Here is a 23,520-nt window from a genome sequence, read left to right on the forward strand (position 1 = left end):
ATTCTTGTGCCCCAGCCTCCCAAGTAGCTGGGATTACAGGCACCTGCCAACATGCCTGGATAATTTTTGTATTTTCAGTAGAGACGGGGTTTCACAATATTTGTCAGGCTGGTCTTGAATTCCTGACCTCAAATGATCCACCTGCCTTGGCCTCCCCAGGTGCTGGATTACAGGCATGAGCCACTATGCCTAGCCTAATTTTTGTATTTTTTTTTTTTAGTAGAGATGGGGTTTCGCCATGTTGGCCAGGCTGGTCTCAAACTCCTGACCTCAAGTGATCTGCCCACCTCGGCCTCCCAGAGTGCTGGAATTACAGGCATGAGCCACCACACCTGGCCTCTTATAGACAGTTTCTATTCAATTCTATATTACTATATTTCCTGCTAGTAAAGATATTTGTAGTTGGTATTATGCAATTTTAAATTCCAGTATGTTTTTTCTTTCTTTTTTTTTTTTTTTTTTTAAGACGGAGTCTTGCCGTGTCAACGAGGCTGGAGTGCAGTGGCATGATCTCGGCTTACTGCAACCTCCACCTCCCAGGTTCAAGCGATTCTCCTGCCTCGGCCTCCTGAGTAGCTGGGACTACAGGCGCATGCCACTTCTGCCTGGCTAATTTTTGTATTTTTAGTAGAGACAGGGTTTCACCATATTGGCCAGGCTGGTCTCGAACTCCTGACCTCAAATGATCCACCCGCCTCAGCCTCCCAAACTGTTGGGATTACAGGCGTCAGCCACCACGCCCGGCCATGAGATGACGTACTTGTTGATGACGACTCAGTTTAGTTATGACAGTGGGAATGGGTGGCTCAGGTGGGAGACAGAAAAAGATCATGGGAGATAATGAGATTAAGGAACTGAGAAACCAGAGTAATTGATAGATCTTCCACATGGTTATCACCAAGAGTGGTGATGGACAAATTGTGGAAAGGAAGAGATAGAGGGGAGGTAAATTCCCAAAGCTGCAAATCTGGGTAAATGGTAGAACCCAGATTCAGACTCAGGTTCAACTAACTTCCAGGGTGGGCACAACTCACCATATTCCACTGTTTGTGGAGCCATTCTTCTTCTTTTTCCTTTGTCCCTTTCTCAGGTAAAAGGTCCAGGAGTTGGGCTGCTTGGAATTTCCAAAGGGGGTGAGCTCTGCCTTTCCATGGCCTCTTTCCTGAAGGGCATCACGGCTGCTGTCGTCATCAACGGCTCTGTGGCCAATGTTGGGGGAACCTTACGCTACAAGGGCGAGACCCTGCCCCCTGTGGGCGTCAACAGAAATCGCATCAAGGTGACCAAAGATGGCTATGCAGACATTGTGGATGTCCTGAACAGCCCTTTGGAAGGACCTGACCAGAAGAGCTTCATTCCTGTGGAAAGGGCAGAGAGCACCTTCCTGTTCCTGGTAGGTCAGGATGACCACAACTGGAAGAGTGAGTTCTATGCTAATGAGGCCTGTAAACGCTTGCAGGCCCATGGGAGGAGAAAGCCCCAGATCATCTGTTACCCAGAGACAGGGCACTATATTGAGCCTCCTTACTTCCCCCTGTGTCGGGCTTCCCTGCATGCCTTGGTGGGCAGTCCTATTATCTGGGGAGGGGAGCCCAGGGCTCATGCCATGGCTCAGGTGGATGCTTGGAAACAACTCCAGACTTTCTTCCACAAACACTTGGGTGGCCACGAGGGGACAATCCCATCAAAAGTGTAAATTTTATTTGATCATGTGGCCTCTCTGTTGCTAATCTCTCCTGGAAACATCTGCCACATTTAGTGTGTGTATGTGTATTCATTCTTTCTCATAACTTCTTAAAGTTTCTTCCCCTCATTATTAAAATGAATTTACCAGTAAGAATGAGTTTTTAAGATTTTTATAAACTGTATACTTTATCAGTTTGGGAAGGGAGTAACTGTAGGAAACACAAGAAGTGGAAAAAGTCTCCTCTTCCTATCTCAACACACAACTGATAAGGCTTTAGTTCTGAAAGGAAAAGTGAGTAACATCAATTAACAGTGTCTGGTACGTAAATGGAGTTCAATAATTATTTGCTGAATGAGTATAAGTGAGCCAGGCGTGGTGGCTCACACCTGTAATCCTAGCACTTTGGGAGGCCAAGGTGCGCGGATTACTTGAGGTCAGGAGTTTGAGACCAGCCTGGCCAACATGGTGAAACCCCATCTCTACTAAAAATACAAAAAATTAGCCGGGCGTGGTGGCGCATGCCTGTAGTCCCAGCTACTCAGGAGGCTGACGCAGGAGAATTGCTTGAACCCGGGAGGCAGAGGTTGCAATGAGCTGAGATTGCACTACTGCCCTCCAGCCTGGGTAACACAGCAAGACTATGCCTCAAAAATAAATAAATTAATTAAATAAATAAATGATTACCTACTGTGGAAGAAAAGCACATAATATAAAAAGTATATCAGATTTGAGTTTCTCCTTTAAGAATGGAAGTTAACATCTTGCCTATAAACTGATTACTAGTTAGATATAAAACTACTAAAACTTTTCAAAACCAATACATATTTAGTTCTTTGATATCTTCTCCTTGGATTAATAAGGATTCTCCTAGTGCAAATAAATTTTATGTTCCTGTTTATACATATGGACCTTTAGGATTTAATTGTTTCAAAAGCTGATAAAACATTATTGAGATGAATTACATAAGCGATTTTAACAATGACAAATGTGAAATTCAATAACAATTTAGGCTTGGCATGGTGGCTCACACTTGTAATGCCAGCACTTTGGGAGGCCAACGCTGGTGGATTGCTTGAACCCAGGAGTTCAAGACAAGCCTGGGCAACATGGCAAAACCCCGTCTCTACAAACAAATACCAGACATTGTGGCGGATGCCTGTAGTCCCAGCTACTGGGGAGGCTGAGGTGGGAGAACTGCTTGAGCCCTGGAGGCAGAGGTTGCAGTGAGCCGAGATTGTGCTACTGCGCTCTAGCCTGGGTGACAGCAGGATACTGTCTCAAAAAAAAAATAAAGAAAAAGAAAGACAATATTTATATCACTTGATATAAATAGTTACACAATAAACTTGATTTTTTCTTAAACCTTAGTTGTATTTAAAAGAAAAAAAAAACCTTAATTTATTATTATTTTCTTTCCTTTTTTTTTTTTGGAGGCAGGGTCTCATTCTGTTGCCCAGGCTGGAGTGCAGTGGCACAGTCACGGCTCACTGCAGCCTCAACCTCGTAGGTTTAAGCTATTCTCCCACCTCGGCCTCCCTAGCAGCTGAGACCACACAGGCACACACCACCATGCCTGGCTAATTTTTAATTTTTTGTACAGATGGGGTCTCCCAATGTTGCCCAGGCTAGTCCTGAATTACTGAGCTCAAACAATCCTCCTGCCTCAGCCTCCCAAAGTGCTGAAATTACAGGTGTGAGCCACCGCTGCCAGCTTCCGGCACCTTTTTTCTAAAGGAATTCATGGTTTTGTAGCAGTAGAATATAACCAGATCTACAGTAGAGAGATGATACCCTGAGATGAAGCTACCTCCTGTGTTACTCTGCAACCCAGGAATGCAGCTGGTGCCATGTCTCCAAACTTCCACAAGAATGCCAGTGCTGGGCATGGAGCCCCATTTAGAGTACACATGACCTGAGGCTCTGAAAACTCTTAGAGATGATGCAATCTGGGACAGTTGCTCATAGCTGGCCTGGCCAAGTCCCACCCCAAGATGCCAGGCCACAACACAAAATTTCAAGTCATATTGTTTTATCTTTTCCCTTGCAATTATATAGTATATGACTCTCTTAGAAAAGTGCAATAGTTAAAACTTGTTTTAGTAGATGCTAGATCCCAAACTTGAGTCTGCTGAAGCCCTTTTGAGACCTTAGGGACCCTATTCTCCATTCTTAGAAATTCAGGCTGGTGAATATTAGATTCAAAAGCACCACAGATGAGCCGGTGGTTGTAGAAGTACATGCCTGTAATCCCAGCTACTTGGAGGCTGAGGCAGTAGTAGTATTGCTTAAGCCCAGGAGTTCAAGCCAGCCTGGGTAACATAGTGGGACACCATCTTATAAAAACAATTTTTTTTTGAGACAGTCTCGCTCTGTTGCCCAGGCTAGAGTACAATGGCTTGATCTCGGCTCACTGCAACCTCCGCCTCCTGGGTTCACGTGATTCTCCTGCCTCAGCCTCCCAAGTAGCTGGGATTACAGGCGCCCACCACCACACCCAGCTAAATTTTGTATTTTTAGTAGAGATGGGGTTTTGCCATGTTGGTCAGCTGGTCTCGAACTCCTGACCTCAGGTGATACACCCGGCTTGGCCTCCCAAAGTGCCAGGATTATAGGCGTGAGCCACCGCACTTGGCAAAAAAATGTTTTAATAACATGAAAAATTTTAAAAAGCACCACAAGGGTTCAGATTACCTATCAGCCTCTTGACATTTCGTATTTTTTTTTTTTTTTTGAGACGAGATCTAACTCTCACCCAGGCTAGAGTGCAGTGGCAGTAACATGATCTCAGCTCACTACAGTCTTGATCTCCAAGGCTCAAGTGATCCTCCCACCTCAGCCCCCTGAGTAGCTGGGACTGCAGACACATGTCACCATGGACAGCTAATTTTTGTATTTTTGCAGAGACAAGGTTTCACCATGTTGTCCAGGCTGGTCTCAAAACTCCTGGGCTCAAGCAGTCTGTCCATCTTGGCCTACCAAACTGCTTGGATTATAGGCATGAGCAACCGGGCCCAGCCTAGTTAGTCTTTATTAGTTATTTGAAAGACATTTTTCTTTTCACTTTCAACCCATGCACACTGTGAACACTGTGAAATACACAGAAAAGTTCATTAAACTAACATGCTCCATAATGATTCACTTATTTATTTGAAAACAGAGGTTGGGTGCAGTGGCTTATGCCTGTAATCCCAGCACTTTGGGAGGCCGAGGCGGGCAGATCACCTGAGGTCAGGAGTTCTAGACCAGCCTGACCAATATGATGAAACCCTGTCTCTACTAAAAATACAAAAATTAGCCAGGTGTGGTGGCATGTGCCTGTAATCCCAGCTACTTGGGAGGCTGAGACAGGAGAATAGCTTGAACAAGGAGGCGGAGGTTACAGTGAGCCAAGATCACGCCACTGTACTCCAGCCTAGGCAACAAGAGCAAAACTCCGTCTCAAAAAAAGAAAAAAGACCCGGTGCGGTGGCTTACGCCTGTAATCCCAGCCCTTTGAGAGGCCGAGGTGAGTGGATCATGAGGTCAGGAGCTTGAGACCAGCCAGGCCAACATGGTAAAACGCCATCTCTACTGAAAATACAAGTATTAGCCGGGCGTGGTGCTGGGCGCCTGTAATCCCAGCTACTCCGGAGGCTGTGGCAGGAGAATCACTTGAAACCGGAAGGCGGAGGTTGCAGAGAGCCAAGATCGTGCCACTGCACGCCAGCCTGGGCAAAAGGGCAAAACGCTGTCTCAAAAACAAAATAGAGATGGGGTCTCCCTATGTTGCCCATGCTGGTCTTAAACTCCTGGGCTCAGGCAATCTTCCCACCTTGGCATCTCCCAAAGTGCTGGGATTACAGGCAATCACCACTGCACCTGGCCATCATGAATAATTTTAAAGGGAACCACAACATAACCAATACCCAAGTCCAATCGGCATGGTTTTTAAAAGCATATTTAAAGTGTATAACATGGACCAGGCACAGTAGCTCACGCCTGTAATCCCATCACTTTGGGAGGCCAAGGTGGGTGGATCACTTGAAGTCAGGAGTTCGAGAGCAGCCTAGCCAACATGGTAAAACTCCATCTCTACCAAAAAATATAAAAATTTGCCAGGGGTGGTGGTGTGCACCTGTACTCCCAACTACTTGGCAGGCTGAGGTGGGTGAATCGCTTGAACCTGGGAGTCGGAGGTTGCAGTGAGCCAAGATTGTGTTACTGCACTCCAGCCTGGACAACAGAGTGAGACCCTGTCTCAAAAAATAAAATAAAAATAAAGTGTACAAAGAGATGGTTGTGGCGGGTTGTTTTTGTTTTTGTTTTAAGAGACAGGCTCTGGCCAGGCTGGAGTGCAGTGGTGCCATCATAGCTCATTGTAGCCTCAAACTCCTGGGGGCCCAACCCATCCTCCCACTTCAGCCTCCTGAGTAGCTGAGACTATAGGCACTTGCCACCATGCCCAGCTAATTTTTAATTTTTTGCAGAAACAGGGTCTTATTATGTTGCCCAGGCTGGTCTCGAACTCCTGGCCTCAGGTGAGCCTCCTGTAATCAGTAGAAGGGTCCAGCTGCCAGCCACTTGTAAAAAGAAGCCAATATAATAAGAGTGAGGTGTGATAAAGAGAGTGAGTTTTATTATCCATGCTAGCAAGGGGAGAAGTGAGTGTAGTTATTTGCAAATATTTCCACTCTTCAATTTGTGGAGGGAATCCAGGAGCTTTTGAAGAGAGAGTTTGGAGTGCAGAAGAGGCAGCGGAACTAGGAGTTGTCGGGTGGCGTGACCTGCTCCACTGGCTTGTTTTGAAGTATTGTTTCATCTGGTGAAGGAGCCAGTGCCATCATTGTGGCTAGAGGTGTCTGGTCCATATCCAGATCCAGTCCCTGAAGCTGAAGGAAATATATGACCAGGTAATGGTGTGTACTTAACAAGCATCTAGGTAAATACATGTGCATAAGGCACGGAAGCACAGAATGGGAAAAGAAAGGGCGTGGAGGTTCAGCACATTCTGAGGGTGTATTTCAAGATGAAAGGAAACTCATATGCAGATGGTCTCAGAGTTCTATCTTGAGACTCACTGGGGGAGGAGAAAGGGGAAAGGAAAAAAAGTCTTAAGGTTTGAGGCTAAGCTGCTAACCTGCTTAGTTACACTCCCACCTTGGCCTCTCAAAGTGCTGGGATTATAGGCATGAACCACTGTGCCAACCCAACATGGTGTTTTGATATGTGTATATTAACACACTGTGAAAGGATTCACAGGTAATTAACCAGGTAATTCCAGGTAATTAACCTATCCATCGCCTCACATCTTTCTCTCTCTCTCTCTTTTTTTTTTTTCTGGTGGTGAGGACACTTGTCTTAGTCTGTTCAACTGCAGTAACAAAATGTCTTATACCGGGTAATTTATAAACAACAGAAATGTATTGCTCACAGTTTTGGAGGCTAGGAAATCCAAGATCAAGGCACCAGCAGATCTGGTGTCTGCTGAGGGCCTGTTCCTCATAGATAGCACCATCTTGTGTCCTACCTAGTGGAAAGAGCAAGGCAGCTCTCTTCAACCTGTTTTATAAGGGCACCAATCCCATTAATGAGGGTTCCACCCTCATGACAGTCACTTCCCAAATGCCTCGTGATGTGTGTGTGTGTCTGTGTGTGTGTGTATCTCAGGGGCGTCAGGCCTCAATTTCCTCATCTATACAATGGGTATAACAACAATCCCATCTTGTTGGGAGGAATTAACAATCATGCATCGAGCCCTGGGCCTCAGGCTTCAATGTATTAGTTATTAGAGCTAATCATTATTTAATGTTTTAAACACCCCCAGGAAGTAGAGAACATTCCTGTCACATTCTGCAGAAAAAGAAATTGAGGCAAGGGGCAAAGCCATTTGCCAAGGTCATAGATCCTGCAAGCCAATGGCAAGGCAGGATCTGAACCTGGGGCTTCAGATCCTGGGGCTTTACCTGATTAAATACCAAGAGAGAGTGCTGAGATTTTTTTGGTGGTGGACAGTCCCTGAGGCAAGCCATTTTTAGAGCATCTGGGCCACTTGGGGAATTGAATCTTTACCAGGGCTTCCCACCTCCTGTTGCCCCTTCTCTGAAGGTGACCCCCCTCCCACAGTAGCACCCCAACCACTCAGAACCCCCAAGCCACCTTCTTTGCACATGCTGAAGCTAATATTGCCCTCCACTCCACCCCAACATCAGGGACCCTGGCCCAAGCCCTTCCCTGGGAGCCCTTCCTCCTCTCATGAGGCCTCCTTCCCAGCCCCTCAGAACAGCCTCCTTTATGAGAGTGGCCAAGATCCCACTGAAACCTTCCCTATCAACTTTATAAAATTAATCAGGGGAGAAGGGAGGGGCGAAATGGAAATCAGCCCAGCTTGCAGCACACACAGCATTGGTCATGAGGTCAGCTGCTCTCTGACCCACTTGCTCAGAGTTGTTTGCTGCCTGTTGCTCCAGAGTCTCATAGACCCTGTCACAAGGTCATAGTTCCCCTTCACTGCTCATAGATAACAACTGGAACATTATAAAACATTAACTTTTCCATTTGAGATATTCTTTCAGGTCCTGCATAGCAATGAAACTGAGGCAGGATAGGTAGCTAAGGGAGTGACCGTGTTCTCGGGATGCAGCGACCATGGCACCCATACAGTCAACACAGTGAGCCTCAGCATTCGCATTGTCATTGCGCTCATTCAAGCAAAGCTGTCTTCATTAGGGAATTTCCCCCATAGACAGCATGAGCATTTTGATTTTACCTGTCCTCAAACTGACATTTTGCTCATTATAATAGTAGAAGACAGCCCTACATGGAGATGTAATATGCTAATGAGACATGTGACATATGAACAAGCATGTACAGCTACTGTGCATGTGCACACAGAAGACCACCCGGAACATGCTTATTAGCAACACCTCTTCCCACCACCTTATGAATAATCATGTAAGACTCCCATAAAGGGAGTCTCCCTACTGCCAGTCTCTGCTGTCTCACCCTTATGAGCAGCCTGCCTTGAACCCTCTCTCTCACAGTATACAGTCCATTCTGCATGTAAATTTCAAAATATTCTTCTTCCTTTGCAATAAATTACTCTATGCTGCACTTCTTTGCTGTGTGTCTCTTGTTTAAATTCTTTTAAACCAAGAAGACAAGAACCGAGGTGTCACATCAGCCGCCAAAGAAACTGCTGATGCCAGCCTGAATGAAAGACCCCACAGGAACTCACTCACTAAAGAATGCAGTTTTTGCTGGGCGCGGTGGCATGGCTATAGTCCCAGCACTTTGGGAGACAGAGGCGGGCCGATACGAGGTCAGGAGTTCGAGACCAGCCTGGCCAACATAGTGAAACACCGTCTGTACTAAAAATACAAAAATTAGCCGAGTGTGGTGGCATGTGCCTGTAGTCCCAGCTACTTGGAGGTTGAGAGGCTGAGGCAGGAGAATCACTTGAACCTGGGAGGCACAGGTTACAGTGAGCTGAGATCGTGCCATTGCACTCCAGCCTGAGTGACAGTGTGAGACTCCGTCTCAAAAAAAAAAAAAAGAATGCAGTTTCCACCTCCTGAAAATTTAATCCCCTTTACCCCAACTAGTCAATGAGCCCAATTTTCTAGCCCTTTACCCTCCATGATCCCTTTAAAAACCCTGTTACAGGTAGTTAGACATGAGCAGGGAAGGAGAGGGCTTTTCTCCCTCACCCACTAGGAATGTCAGGTGGTGGTTGACAGTTATCACGTTGCCTCTCTAAACTGAAAATTCGCAGTTGGTGCCAGAGGGCCAGAGTGAGACAAGCTCCTGATGATCCACAGGTGTTAACATTAAAGTGTTAATTGAATGCAGGTGCCAGGGAGAAGCAACTTCCTGGGCACGTGCATTAAGAGACAAAATGGCAGGCCAGGCGCGGTGGCTCACGCCTGTAATCCCAACACTTTGGGAGGCTGAGGTGGATGGGTCACCTGAGGTCAGGAGTTCGAGACCAGCCTGACCAACATGGTGAAACACCGTCTCTACTAAAAATACACAAATTAGCCGGGTGTGGTGGTGCGCACCTGTAGTCCCAGCTACTCAGGAGGCTGAGGCAGGAGAATCGCTTGAACCCCAGGAGGCCGAGGTTGCAGTGAGCTGAGACCACGCCATTACACTCCAGCCTGGGCAACAAGAGTAAATCTCCGTCTTAAAAAAAAAAAAAAAACAGACAAAATGGCTATGTATGACCTCTCCAGGACACTCCACTGGAAAAGGGAAGAAAGCCTCAGATGGGCACGTATACAACTTCCTACACACACTGTGCATGCTCACTTCCGAAAGGTAAAGAGAGCACAGAGCATGAGGGCAGCTCACCCTCAGAGAAGAATCATGAGAAAGAGGCGAGCCTATAAAGTCCTAGGATCACAGTTAAACAGGGCTCTTGACCTTCAGGTGCCCGGTCAGGTCTCTTCCAAGTGAACTTTCCTTTCTTTCATGTCCTAAAGACTTTTTAAATAAACTTCCACTCTGCTCTGAACTCACCTCCGTCTCTTTTTCTGCCTTATGCCCCTCAGTCAAATTCTTTCTTCTGAGGAGGCAAGAACTGAAGTTGCTGTAGACCTGTACAGATTCGCCACCAGTAACTCAGACACCTTCCACTGGTAACAACCCCAGCCCAGAATTCTTCAAGGAGATGGATTTGAGGGTCTCCTCCCATCTCCTTGCTAGGTGCCCTGTGATCATGAAGCTCTTTCTGTGCTGCAAACCCTGCTGTCTCAGTGTAATTGGTCTGTAACAGCAGAGTGGGCATTCTGCAGCCTCTTCCTTGCCCGGGGCCTGTTGGGAGCCCCCAGCACTGCCTGTACCATCATAAACCCACCCTGGCCCCTTTCCCAGGCTCCAAGCTCAGAGGAGGCAGAGGCTTCATTCTAAACTACAGCATCCCCTCCCTAATCCTCATTTGCCTTCTCCTTCTGAGCTTGGGCCCCATTTTTTGAGACCCTACCAGCCCCCATTCCCACAATCCCCTGTGCCGACACAAATCAACCTCCCCATGTCCCAACCACTGTCAACCCCAACTTAGACCAGTGCATCCCACAGCTATTCTAGCACCCCATAAACACTCCAGTGTCCCCCACTTCCTGATCCCACAACACCTTGGGCCCTCCAGATAACCCGCTGCTCCAGCCTGGCAGTTTGTCAACCCCCTCACCCAGACCCCCAACACCTCATGCCTGTCTTATGCCATGAGTCTGAGGCCCCTGACCCCTACACCTCTTGGGTGCCACCCAGGCCTGTCTGTGTGGGCAGCTCCCCCACCAGCTCCCTTCCATCCCCCATGGGTCCTATCCAGGGTTTCCCCGACCCAAGCACACACTATTCGGCATTCCTGACTCCCACTGTTCCTGGCTCACGGCCTGGCCACCTTGTCTCGCTCATCTGCCATAGCCCCTGCCTGGCCCAGCAGGACAGGCCTAGGTCAGGGCAAGGACAGGTCAGCACCAGGGCTGGTGCCCCACCCCGAAGGACACAAGCCTCCTGCTCAGGACACTTTCTGGGGTCCTGTGCCTCCCCTTCTTCTCCCCCAGGTGCCAAGTCCCCACTTTTTAATACTATCGCATTGAGGCTGGGCATGGTGGCTCACACCTGTAATCCCAGCACTTTGGGAGGCTGAGGTGGGCGGATTACCTGGGCTCAGGAGTTCAAGACCAGCCTGGGCAACATGGTGAGACCCCATCTCTACTAAAAATCCAAAAAATAATTAGCTGGGCTTGGTAGCACTCGCCTGTAATCCCAGCTACGGGGGAGGCTGAGGCAGGAGAATCACTTGGAACCCAGAAGGTAGAGGTCCAGTGAGCCGGGATCGCGCCACTGCACTCCAGCCTAGGCAACTGAACAGGACTAGATCTCCAAAAAAAATTAAAATAAAAAAGTATTATCACATTGGGTATTAGGTTTGTTAAATAAAAATTATTGCTGTGGAGGATACACTTGAAGGGAATGAAAAAAAGTATAGGAGACTATTGTTTTGCTTTTTTTTTGTTTTGTTTTTGAGATAGAGTCTTGCTCTGTCCCCCAGGCTGGAGTGCAGCAGCGCAATCTTGGCACACTGCAACCTCTGCCTCCCAGGTTCAAGCAATTCTTGTGCCTCAGCCTCCCTAGTAGCTGGGATTACAGGCATGCACTAGCATGCCCCGCTAAGGCCATTGTTTTGGACTAGGCTCTAGCACTAGGCCCCAATAGACAAGACTAAAAACCAAAATGGCGTCACCTGTGCTAAAGTTTCACCCAACCTAAACTGAAGTGTTACCTGGCCTTCTGAGAAATCAGGAGAGAAATAACAGCCAATTTCCCAAACATGCCAGTTTTGATCTTTAATTATCATGACAATGAGGTTCCCCTCTGCTTTAATCTGTACACAAAAGAATTAGCCAGCTGGGCATGGTGGCTTACTCATGTAATCACGGCACTTCGGGAGCCCAAGGCAGGCAGATCACTAGAGACCAGGAGTTGGAGACCAGCCTGCCCAACATGGTAAAACCCTGTTTCTATGAAAAATAAAAAAAATTAGCAGGCATGGTGGTGGGGGCCTGTAATCCCAGCTACTCAGGAGACAGAGGCAGGAGAAGCGCTTGAACCAGAGAGGCAGTGGTTGCAGTGAGCCGAGATATTGGATTAGGCAGTCAAAAAAACCAAGCAAGCATAAAAGGTCAATAAGTTGTAATCTTGATAGTAAAAGTGGAAAACTTATTATAAATGGAAAGAAAGTTTTGATTTCCTTTTTTGTTTGATGGGCAGTATGCCATATTATACCCAAAGTTCGTTTAAAAAATATTTCCATCAACTATTTTTATTTGAAATAAATATTTGAGGTAAGTTACCAAGGCAGCTTTTTTCCTCAAAAGTAACCTGTTCCTCTTTGGAATAGCACATTTTAGGGGCATGGTTAATACCTGAGATTTTTACTCAGTAAATCCTGATGGTTACTATGTGTAAAATATCTTTAAGTAGGATTGAAGGCCTCTGTGGGGAATAAAATATTACCAAAGTCTATAAAAATAAATTTTACATGTTCTCCTTTATGACAGAGAGCAGCACTGGTTCTGCTACTTTTAAAATGAATAATTGATTTCTTGATAGGTGTTTGATATTTCTTCCCTCACTGCTGATTCTTAGATAGAAACCATTCTTTATATTTGATAGACTGTTTTCAGAAAACCCTTATCAACAAGTGTACAATACTTATCTGAAACTATACGTTTAGAATGGAGCAGTTTAATACTAGATCTCAGAAATTTGAAAAATAGCAAAGAAGACTGGATTTGGAAAGCATGGTCTACAATTGCTTGTCAAATTCTGAAGCTATGAAGAATAAATGTTTCAACTTTGGATTATGAAACCCCATTTATGATTTTTTAAATAAACTTGAAATAAAAATGATTAAACTAAAAAAAAAGAATGTAGAGGGAGAGATCAATGTAAAAATTTATTTAAAGAAATAGTAACAGAGAACTTTCTAAAACTAGAGAAAGATATGAATATACAGGTATAAGAAGGTCATAAAACACCAAGCCAACTCAGCCTCAATAAGACTACCTCAAGGCATATAATAATCAAACTCTCAAAGGTCAAGGCTAAAAAAGGATCCTAAAAGCAGCAAGAGAAAAGAAGGACATATTAATAACATCATAAAGGAGCTCCAATATGGCTGGTAGCAGACTTCTCAGCAGAAACTTTACAAGCAGAGAGTGGGGTGACAAAGTGCTGAAGCAAAAAAACTTCCAATCTAGAATATTATATTCAGCAAAAACAGCCTTCAAACATGAAAGAGAAATAAGGATATTCTTAGTTAAAAAAAAAAAAGTGAGAGATTTTGACATCAGACCTGTCTTATAAGATTCTTGTTAAGAGGAGTTCCTCACTGGTTGAGTATGAATGGTCAAATGAAAAGAACATTAATATTCTCCTGCCTTGCATATTCTTCTAAAACATTTTACATTCCTAACACATCAGTGTGTCCACATCTTGCTTCTAAGGCAGGGGGCAATTTGATCCTAAACAGTTGAAAAATGGGATGAGGACTCATTTCATCCCCAGATGACTACCTATAAGGAGTGATTGGCTAGGTGGGTGGCTCACGCCTGTAATCCCAGCACTTTGGGAGGCTGAGGCGGGTGGATCACCCAAGGTCAGGAGTTCGAGACCAGCCAGCCTGATCAACATGGAGAAACCCCATCTCTACTAAAAATACAAAATTAGCCAGGCATGGTGGCACACACCTGTAATCCCAGCTACTTGGGAGGCTGAGGCAGGAGAGTTGCTTGAACCTGACAAGCAGAGGTTGCAGCGAGCCGAGATCGTGCCACCGCACTCCAGCCTGGATAACAAGAGCAAAACTCTATCTCAAAAAAAAAGGAGTGATTTAGGGTGTCCGCAGATAAATGCCCTTTAGCCTTTGACATAAAGAATCTTTAGTTACAATGCAAACATCCCAGAAAGAATACCATATTACCATTATCAATTATTAGAAATTCTTAAGGAGGCTGGGTGCGGTGGCTCACGCCTGTAATCCCAACACTTTGGGAGGCTGAGGCAGGCAGATCACCAGAGGTCAGCAGTTCAAGAGCAGCATGGCCAACATGGCGAAACCCCATCTCTACTAAAAATACAAAAAATTAGCCAGGCATGGTGGCAGGCACCCGTAATCCCAGCTACTCAGGAGGCTGAGGCAGGAGAATCGCTTGAACCCAGGAGGCGGAGGTTGCAGTGAGCCAAGATCACACCAGTGCACTCCAGGCTGGGTGACAAGAGTGAAACTTCTTCTCAAAAAAAAAAAACAAAAAAAACTTAAGGAATAGTTATTATCATCCGATATGATGGCTTATTAAGAAGGAAGGGAACACATGATAGGTCTGTTTTGAAAAGGAATGGGGACAGAACAAAATGTTACACAAGGTCTGATCAAAAGAGGCTTGTTCTGGCTTGTCTTTGTCTGTCTTGGAGTCACGGGACAGGTGTAAGGCCAAATTGTGCACTTCCCAGTCATGTTACCTTGGGCAAATAATTTGAAATCTGTAGTTTCCCAATCTGAAAATTGAGTCTGATACCTGTTCTAATTTAGTGTTGATTGATATGAACCTCAAAATTAGAAACGTATGAAAGTTCTTTGCAAACTAAAATATATGTGTGAGGAATTGTTATTATTAGTTTAGAGGATGGACTGTTGTCCTTAGAAGGCAAGTCTCTGGGTCCTACAGTTAGATGCACTGGGCGCTTCGGGAAGAATTTAGGGCTATGGGGTACTCAGCAATTAAAAGAGAGGGTGCTTAGAGAAGAAAGAAAGGACTTATTAATGGAGTTTGGAGGCTCCTTATTATCGAAACTTACACATTACGTGACCAGCATTATGAGGCAGCACCCCACTCCCAACAAATAGCCCTCTAGAACCAAAAGCAGAGTGGCAGGTCCGGGGTCCTTTTGTACATAGACAGCATAAAAAATTGACTAAGTCAATCCTGGCATAACTGCAGACCAGGCCCTGGAATGAGCAACCCACCAGCATTATCTGCATTTCTAGGAACTTGGGCTAGAAGGGGAGGAATGGGGTTGGAAGGGTTAGGCCACATGCCTCTAGTTAAAACCTGATGAACTTCCTAGATCCCCAGCTGGAAAACGTAGGAGTTGGACTAAATTCCTCTCCTGCCTCTAATATTTTATGAATACAGAACTCAACTCAAACTGGGTAGTATCTCAGAGATTCCAAATTTAGTTCCACTTTTCTGTTTGCTTATCAGTCGCTTACCCTCACCCTCTGGTCTGATACCTTTATCCTGTACAAGTGGTCAAAGTAGGTTGAGTAACATGTGCTAAAAGGAGTAATATCTTGCATTCTCCCTTGTTATTAAAATAGAGGAAACTGCCTTGAAAGAAAAGACTAAAAAGCAATAAGCCTTAGTATCAGTATCTTCTGAAAGCTTTAAAAAAATAATACTCTCATCTCTACCAACAGATTTGGATTCTGAAGTTCTGAGGTGGAGTCCAAGAGTGTGCAGTCAGCTTCTGGGGTGGTGTTTGTTAGATACAGTTTTTTGTTTATTTATTTATGTTTGAGACAGGGCCTCACTCTGTCACCCAAGCTGGAGTGCGGTGGCACAGTCATGGCTCACTGCAGCCTTGCCTCCCAGGCTCAAGCAATCCTCCTGCCTCAGCGTCCCCAGTAGCTGGGACCACAGGTGTGCACCACCATGCCTGGCTAATGTTTTAAAACTTTTTTTTGTAGAGACAGGGTCTTACTATGTTGTCCAGGCTGGTTTCAAACTCCTGGAATCAAGTGATCTTCCTGCCTTGGCCTCCAGAAATGCTGGGACTATGCCTGGAATAGATATGGGTAAAGAACCTTTTACATCAGACTCTTGTGTCCTACTCCCAGAATGCTGATTCAGTAGCCTGCAAGTGAGGCCTAGAAATCTGCATTTTCACAAGCTCTCAGGTTTAATACACAATACATTTAAAGAAAGCACAGCCCAAAGGGTGTCAGTGGGGTGTATGAAGGAAGCCTGGTTAGTGGGGAGAGTGGGATTAGGGAACAGCTGCTTAACCTGGCTTGTTTCAAGTCCCCCTTTCTCCCTTTTTGCCCTCAAAAAGTTCCCCTCATTTTTTCCCCTCTACTTTCTAATTTTTTACCATGCACTCACACAGCTATACAGCTATCTCCAGAGATTACTCTGGAAACTCTGCTATAAAGATGACCTGGTCTAATGCCTTGATTTGTTTTTTTTTTTTTGAGACAGGGTCTCACTCTCCTGGAGTACAGTGGCGTGATCATGACTCACTGCAGCCTTGACCTCCTGGGCTCAAGCAATCCTCCCACATAGCTGGGAGCATAGGCACATAGCACACCACTCTCGGTTAAATTTTTTTTTTTTTTTTTTTTTTTGTAGAGATAGAGTCTCACTATGTTGCTCAGGCTGGTCTTGAACTCCTGGACTCAAACAGTCCTCCCACCTTGGCCTCCCAAAATGCTGGGAATACAGGCATGAGCCACTGCACCAGGCCTAATGTCCTGATTTTATAAATCCCAAAACTGGGGCCCAGAGAGAAGAGAAATCATTAAGATCACCATACTGCTTGGTATCTAAAGTAGTACTGACCCTTTTGACACCTAATCCAAAGTTTTTTCAGCTACCTCAGGTTGCCCCTCATCTTCCAGCTGACACCATCCAGCACCTTTCAGATACTGGCAAAGGAGCAGTGTTTCAAAATTACTTTCCAAATGGCCTCCTAAAAGGCAGTCCTCAGAGAGAAGCAAGGTTCTGCATCTTAAGCCTTCCTTGGTTTCTTAGGTTCCAAAGCTGTTTCTATCAGTCTCCAAGCAACCAACTCTTTAGAATTCCATGAGTCTACTCAGAGAACTTGTGGGTTCAGTCGGGGGTATATCTTCAACCATTTATTAAATTTCCTTCTTTGTAAACTGAGCTTTGAGAAATTGCATCTTATTTATTGATTATTTATTGAATGGTAGTTTCATGGAGTTTTTGGTCTTTTTTCTTTTTTGAGACAGTCTCACTCAGTTGCCTAGGCTGGAGTGCAGTGGTGCGATCTCGGCTCACTGCAACCTGTGCCTCCCAGGTTCAAGCAATTCTCCTGTCTCAGCCTCCCATTACAGGCCACACCACCATGCCCCACTAATTGTACTTTTAGTAGAGATGGGGTTTCACCATGTTGGACAGGCTGTTCTCAAACTCCTGACCTCAAGTGATGTGTCCGCCTTGGCCTCCCAAAGTGCTGGGATTTGCAACTGTGAGCCACCACACCTAGCCTCTTGGTCATTCTTTGAAAAATAAACCTCAGCCAGGCGCGATGGCTCACGCCTGCAATTTCAGCGCTTTGGGAGGCTGAGGTGGCGGATCACCTGAGGTCAGGAGTTAGAGACCAGCCTGACCAACATGGTGAAACCCCATCTCTACTAAAAATAGAAAATTTAAAAAGAAAATCACCTGGGCCTGGTGGCGCATGCCTGTAATCCCAGCTACTCGGGAGGCTGAGGCAGGAGAATCGCTTGGACCCAGGAAGCAGAGGTTGCAGTGAGCCAAGATCAGGCCATTGCACTCCAGCCTGGGCAGCAAGAGTGAAGTGCAGTCTCAAAAGATAAAAATAAAAAAACCCTCTAGATATATGCAGCTCCATATTCTCCCACCACAAGGGTTTATAAATCCTGAGAAAGAGGCAAAGCAGGGAACACATGACCACATAGTTCTGGCAGGCGTCAGATTACCAGGCTGATAAAACAGATGGTAAAGTAGAAGCTGTCCGTCGACTTTTCCATTCCCCTTTCAGCTCCTCCACTGCTACTTAATCTCCTTTGCCCACACAGTTCAATCCCATTTTCCCTGATCTCTAAATCCTGGCTAGATTATTAGCCATTAACACTAGCTTTTACAAGGAGACTCTTCAATCTTGTATTTCTAATAGTATAATTTCACACGTACAGAAATTCTTTAAGTCATAGAAGTCTTACAGATACAGAAATTCTGATCTTCAAGAGTCCCTTTGTGAAACAAACTAATTTATCCTGACAGCAGGAAAGATTTCTGGGCCTAAGGCTCTGTCTCGTTGACCCAGGTCATGCTATTCAGGTGGTCCATCTCTTGGTTCCAAGCAAGACTGCTGCTGCTGACCAACCTGAATATGGACTTTAGCACTTGAGCTCAAGCTGCACTCAGATGGTTAGACCCCCATAAAAAGCAGAGGGTACGTTTTCTGTTATGAAAAGTAAAGACTGAGCCAGGCGCTGTGGCTCACGCCCATAATCCCAGCACTTTGGGAGGCAAGTTGGGCGGATCACGAGGTCAGGAGATTTAAACCATCCTGGGTAACACGGTGAAACCCCATCTCTACTAAAAATACAAAAAAATTAGCCAGGCGTGGTGGCAGGCGCCTGTAGTCCCAGCTACTTGGAGGCTGAGGCAGGAGAATGGCATGAACCCGGGAGGCGGAGCTTGCAGTGAGCCGAGATTGGGCCACTGCACTCCAGCCTGGGCGACAGAGCAAGACTCCATCTCAAAAAAAAAAAAAAAGAAAATTAAATACTAAAAAAATTAAACATTATAACCCTGCTAAGGCAGGAGGATCATTTGAGCCCAGGAGTTTGAGGCTGCAGTGAGCTATGATGGCACTACTGCACCCCAGCCTCAGTGACAGAGGGAGACCCTGTTTCTAATAAATCAAAACCCTGTTGAAGGTTCCTCAAAAAATTAAATATAGAATTACTATGTGATCCAGCAATTCTACTTCTGGGTACATATCCAAAAGAATTGAAAGCAGGGACTTTAACAGATATTTGTATACCCATGTTCATAGCAGCATACTCACAATAGCCAAACGGTGGAAAGAACCCAAATGTCCATCAGTGAATGAATGGATAAACAAAATGTGGAAGATACATACAACAGAATGTTATTCAGCCTTAAAAAGGAATGAAATGGGCTGGGCGTGGTGGCTCAGGCCTGTAATCCCAGCACTTTGGGAGGCCGAGGAGGGTGGATCACCTGAGGTCAAAAGTTCAAGACCAGCCTGGTCAACATGGTGAAACTCCATCTCTACTAAAAATACAAAAATTAGCCAGGCGTAGTGGCAGGCGCCTGTAATCCCAGCTACTCAGGAGACCGAGGCAGGAGAATCTCTTGAACCCAGGAGGCAGAGGTTGCAGTGAGCCAAGATCTCGCCATTGTGGTCCAGCCCGGGCGACAGAGCGAGAGTTTATCTCAAAAAAAAAGAAAGAAAAAAAAAGAAAAAGGAATGAAATGGGCCAGGTGCAGTGGCTCACGCCTATAATCCCAGCACTTTGGGAGCCTGAGGCGGACAGATTACTCAAGGTCAGGAGTTCGAGACCAGCTTGGCCAACACAGTAAACCCCGTCTCTACTAAAAATACAAAAATTAGCTGGGCATGGTGGCACACACCTGTAGTCCCAGCTACTGGGGAGGCTGAGGCAGGAAATCACTTGAACCCAGGAGGTTGCAGTGAGCCAAGCAAGATTGCACCACTCCACCCCAGCCGGGCAACAAGAGTGAAACTCTGTCTCAAAAAAAATGAATGAAATGGCTGTGTGAGGTGGCTCATGCCTATGATCCCAGCACTTTGGGAGGCCGAGGTAGGAAGATTGCTTGAATGTAGAAGTTCAAGACCAGACTGGGCAACAAAGTGAGACCCCCATCTCTACAAAAAACTTAAAAAGTATCCAGGTGAGGTGGCACGTGCTTGTCGTCCCAGCTACTGGGGAGACTGAGATGGGAGGATTGCTTGCACCTGGGTGTTGAGACTGCAGTGAACTGTGATCTTGCCACTGCACTCCAGAGCCTGGGTGACAGAGCAAAATTCCTGGGGAGAGTGAAGTTATGATATGCTGTAAATATATGGATGAGCCTTGAAGACAATATGCTAAGCAAAATAAGCCAGAGATGAAGGGCCAAATACTGTATAATTACACTTTATGAGGTACCTAAAGTAGTCAAATTCAGAGACAGGAAGTGGAATAGTGGTTGCCAGGGGCTGGTGGCAGTGGGGAATAAGGAGTTATTGTTTAATGTTGTGGGAAGTCAAGGACCCCGAATGGAGGGACCGGCTGGAGCCGCGGCAGAGGAACATAAATTGTGAAGATTTCATCTTAATATGGACATTTATCAGTTCCCAAATAATACTTTTATAATTTCTTATGCCTGTCTTTAATATCTTAATCCTGTTATGTTCGTAAGCTGAGGATGTACATAACCTCAGGACCACTGTGATAATTGTGTTAACTGTACAAATTGATTGTAAAACATGTGTTTGAACAATACGAAATCAGTGCACCTTGAAAAAGAACAGAATAACAGCGATTTTTATGGAACAAGGGAAGACAACCATAAGGTCTGACAGCCTGCGGAGTCGGGCCAAAAGAGCCATATTTTTCTTCTTGCAGAGAGCCTACAAACGGACGTGCAAGTAGGAGAGATATCACTAAATTATTTTCCTAGTAAGGAATATTAATATTAATACCCTGGGAAAGGAATGCATTCCTGGCGGGAGGTCTATAAACGGCCGCTCTGGGAATGTCTGTCTTGTGCCGTTGAGATAAGGACTGAGATACGCCCTGGTCTCCTGCAGAACCCTCAGGCTTACTAGGGTTGGGAAAACTCCACCCTGGTAAATTTGTGGTCAGACTGGTTCTCTGCTCTCCAACCCCGTTTTCTGTTGTTTAAGATGTTTATCAAGAAAATACATGCACCGCTGAACACAACCCTTATCAGTGGTTCTGCTTTTGCCCTTTGCCTTGTGATCTTTGTTGGACCTTTGTCAGTGGTTCTGCTTTTGCCCTTTGTCCTATTCCCTCAGAAGCATGTGATCTTTGTTAGAACCTTATTAGTGGTTCTGCTTTTGCCTTTTGAAGCATACGATCTTTGTACCCACTCCCTGTTCTTACCCCCGCTCCCCTTTTGAAACCCTTAATAAAAACTTGCTGGTCTGAGACTCAGGTGGGCATCACGGTCCTACCAATATGTGATGTCACCCCCAGCGGCCCAGGTGTAAAATTCCTCTCTTTGTACTGTCTCTATTTGTCAGCCGGCCGACTCTTATAGAAAATAGAAGGAACCTACGTTGAAATATTGGGGGCGAGTTCCCCCAATAGTTTAATGGGTAAAGACTTTCATTGTACAATGATGTAAAAATTCTGGGCCAGACGCAGTGGCTCACGCCTATAATCCCAGCACTTTGGGAGGCTGAGGCAGGCCGATCACTTGGGGTCAGGAGTTTGAGACCAGCTTGGCCAACACAGTGAAATCCCATCTCTACTAAAAATAGAAAAATTAGCTGGGTGTGGTGGTGCGTGCCTGTAGTCCCAGCTACTCGGGAGGCTGAGGTAGGAGACTCACTTGAACCCGGGAGGTGGAGGTTGCAGTGAGCTGAGATCGCGCCACTGCACTCCAGCCTGGGGGATAGAGCGAGACTCCAAAAGTTCTGGAAATGGATAATGGTGATAGTTGTACAACAATGTAATGTACTTAATATCATTGATTTGTACACTTAAAAATGGTTAAAATGGGCTTGTTCCAGCAGCTCATGCCTGTAATTCTAGCGCTTTGGGAGGCCAAGGCAGGAGGGTCACTTGAGACCAGAGTTCGAGACCAGTCTGGGCAACATAGCAAGACCCTGTCTCTAAAAATAAAAAAATAAATAAATAAATGGTTAAAATGAGGCCATGCATGCCTGTAATCTCACCGCTTTGGGAAGATGAGGCGGTAGGGTCACTTGTTTGGGAAGAGGAGGTGGGAGGATCCTTTGAACCCAGGAGTTCAAGGCTGCAATGAACTATCATGGTGCCATTGCACTCCAACCTGGGTGACAGAGTAAGACCTAGTCTCTAAAAAAATAAGAGTTAAGGCCAGACACGGTGACTCACGACTGTAGTCTCAGCACTTTGGGAGGCTGAGGCGGGCAGATTACAAGGTCAGGAGTTTGAGACCAGCCTGGCCAACATGGTGAAACCCCGTCGTACTAAATATACAAAAATCAGCTGGCCGTGGTGGCATGTGACTGTAATCCCAGCTACTCAAGAGGCTGAGGCAGGTGAATCGCTGGAACCCGGGAGCCAGAGGTTGCAGTGAGCCGAGATCAGACCACTGCACTCCAGCCTGGGTGACAGAGCAAGACTCTGTCTTGAAAAAAAAAAAAATTAAAAAAAGAAACATGGCCCAGTGTGGTGGCTCTTGCCTATAATCCCAACACTCAGGGAGGCCAAGGTGGGAGGATTGCTTAAGCCCAGGAGTTCGAGACCAGGCAACATAGGGAGACCCCGTCTGTACAAATAATTTTAAAAATTAGCCAGGTGTGGTGGTGCATGCCTGTGGTCCCAGGTGCTCAGGAGGCTGAGGTGGGAGGACTGGCTAAGCCTGGGAGGTTGAGGCTGCAGTGAGCTATGATCACACCACTGCACTCCAGCCTGGGTAACACAGTGAGACACCCCGTCTTAAAAAACAAACAAACAAATAAACAAATACTATGCATAAAACCTCAAGGCTCAAGAAACAACAGTTTGAAATAGTTAGATGTGTGTTTTTTAATTTTCATGTCTTATCTTTTCTGTTTTTTGTTTTTTTTTTTTTTTTTTTAGAGATGAGATCTTGCTCTGTTGCCCAAGCTGGTATCGAACTCCTCCTGGGCTCAAGCAATCTCCTGCCTAGGACTCCCTCCTAACAGCTGGAACTACAAGCATGAACCACTGCACCCAGCTACTGGTGTATTGTTTCAGTAGTCTTTTTAAAAAATGTTAATATCTTGGTAAAAAATATATTTATACTGTTCTCTAACCTGCTTTTTTCATCAGTGTGATGGAAAAATGCTCATCATATATTCTTCTGCTATATAACTTTAGATGTCTACACTGATTTCATTTATGACATCACAATTAAACTGGTTAAACCAAATTCATATTGCTCACTTGTTTCTAATTTTTTCTCTATTAAAATGATATGATAAGCATCCTTGTAGCCAAATATTTACACACATTCATTAAGGTTTACTTAAAAGAAATTCCTAGACGTGGAGCTGAGTCAAAGAGAAGGGATCTTTTAAGTATTTTTGCACTGATTGCCATGAAAAGGTCATACCAGTTTATACATTCATCAATATATGAGTTTCTTTTCTAAATCTTCTTCAACATCATGTGAGAGACAGTTAAAGCATAGTTGTTCAGAGCCCAGGCTTGAGAATCAGATTTCAAAGGTATGAACCCTCTCCCTTTTTCTTTTCCTTTTTTTTTTTTTTTTCTGAGGAGTCTTGCTCAGTCGCCCAGGCTGGAGTGCAGTGGCCCAATCTCGGCTCACTGCAAGTGTGTCCAGAAT

At 45.4% G+C, this 23,520-nt stretch overlaps 2 protein-coding genes across 6 annotated transcripts in view, besides 2 other annotated features; one reads left to right on the forward strand and one right to left on the reverse strand.

Moving 5' to 3' along the window:
* Nucleotides 1-1,837, forward strand: part of ACOT1 (acyl-CoA thioesterase 1) — a 52,864-nt gene extending 51,027 nt beyond the window's left edge. For all 3 annotated transcript variants that reach the window (XM_017021590.2, NM_001037161.2, XM_017021589.2), the window contains one exon: nt 1,091-1,837. In XM_017021590.2, the coding sequence (XP_016877079.1) occupies nt 1,091-1,696 (606 nt within the window). In that variant the 3' untranslated portion in view covers nt 1,697-1,837. The remainder of the gene's footprint in view (nt 1-1,090) is intronic.
* The window catches only part of HEATR4 (HEAT repeat containing 4), a 155,331-nt gene that overhangs the window by 63,476 nt on the left and 68,335 nt on the right, over nt 1-23,520 (reverse strand). For 2 of the 3 annotated variants that reach the window (NM_203309.2, NM_001220484.1), the window contains exon 1: nt 16,792-16,988. The exons of the other annotated variant lie outside the window; for it this stretch is intronic. The gene's annotated coding sequence lies outside the window, so the exon portion shown is untranslated. Of the gene's footprint in view, nt 1-16,791; nt 16,989-23,520 lie in introns of those variants that run through there. 3 annotated transcript variants of the gene reach the window in all.
* Nucleotides 11,811-12,323: an enhancer, noted in NCBI's record as "NANOG hESC enhancer chr14:74020474-74020986 (GRCh37/hg19 assembly coordinates)". NCBI's record gives its function as "activates a minimal SCP1, AML or CMV promoter by ChIP-STARR-seq in naive and primed H9 embryonic stem cells {active_cell/tissue: H9 hESC(naive and primed)}" and the evidence as "EXISTENCE:reporter gene assay evidence [ECO:0000049][PMID:30033119]".
* Nucleotides 17,820-17,989: an enhancer, noted in NCBI's record as "experimental_36531 CRE fragment used in MPRA reporter constructs". NCBI's record gives its function as "activates a minimal promoter by MPRAs in K562 erythroleukemia cells, with activity observed for both the introgressed and non-introgressed 14:74026568 variant alleles {active_cell/tissue: K562}" and the evidence as "EXISTENCE:reporter gene assay evidence [ECO:0000049][PMID:34662402]".

This window comes from Homo sapiens, chromosome 14 (genome assembly GCF_000001405.40).
Source record: "Homo sapiens chromosome 14, GRCh38.p14 Primary Assembly".
Classification (NCBI taxonomy): domain Eukaryota; kingdom Metazoa; phylum Chordata; class Mammalia; order Primates; family Hominidae; genus Homo; species Homo sapiens.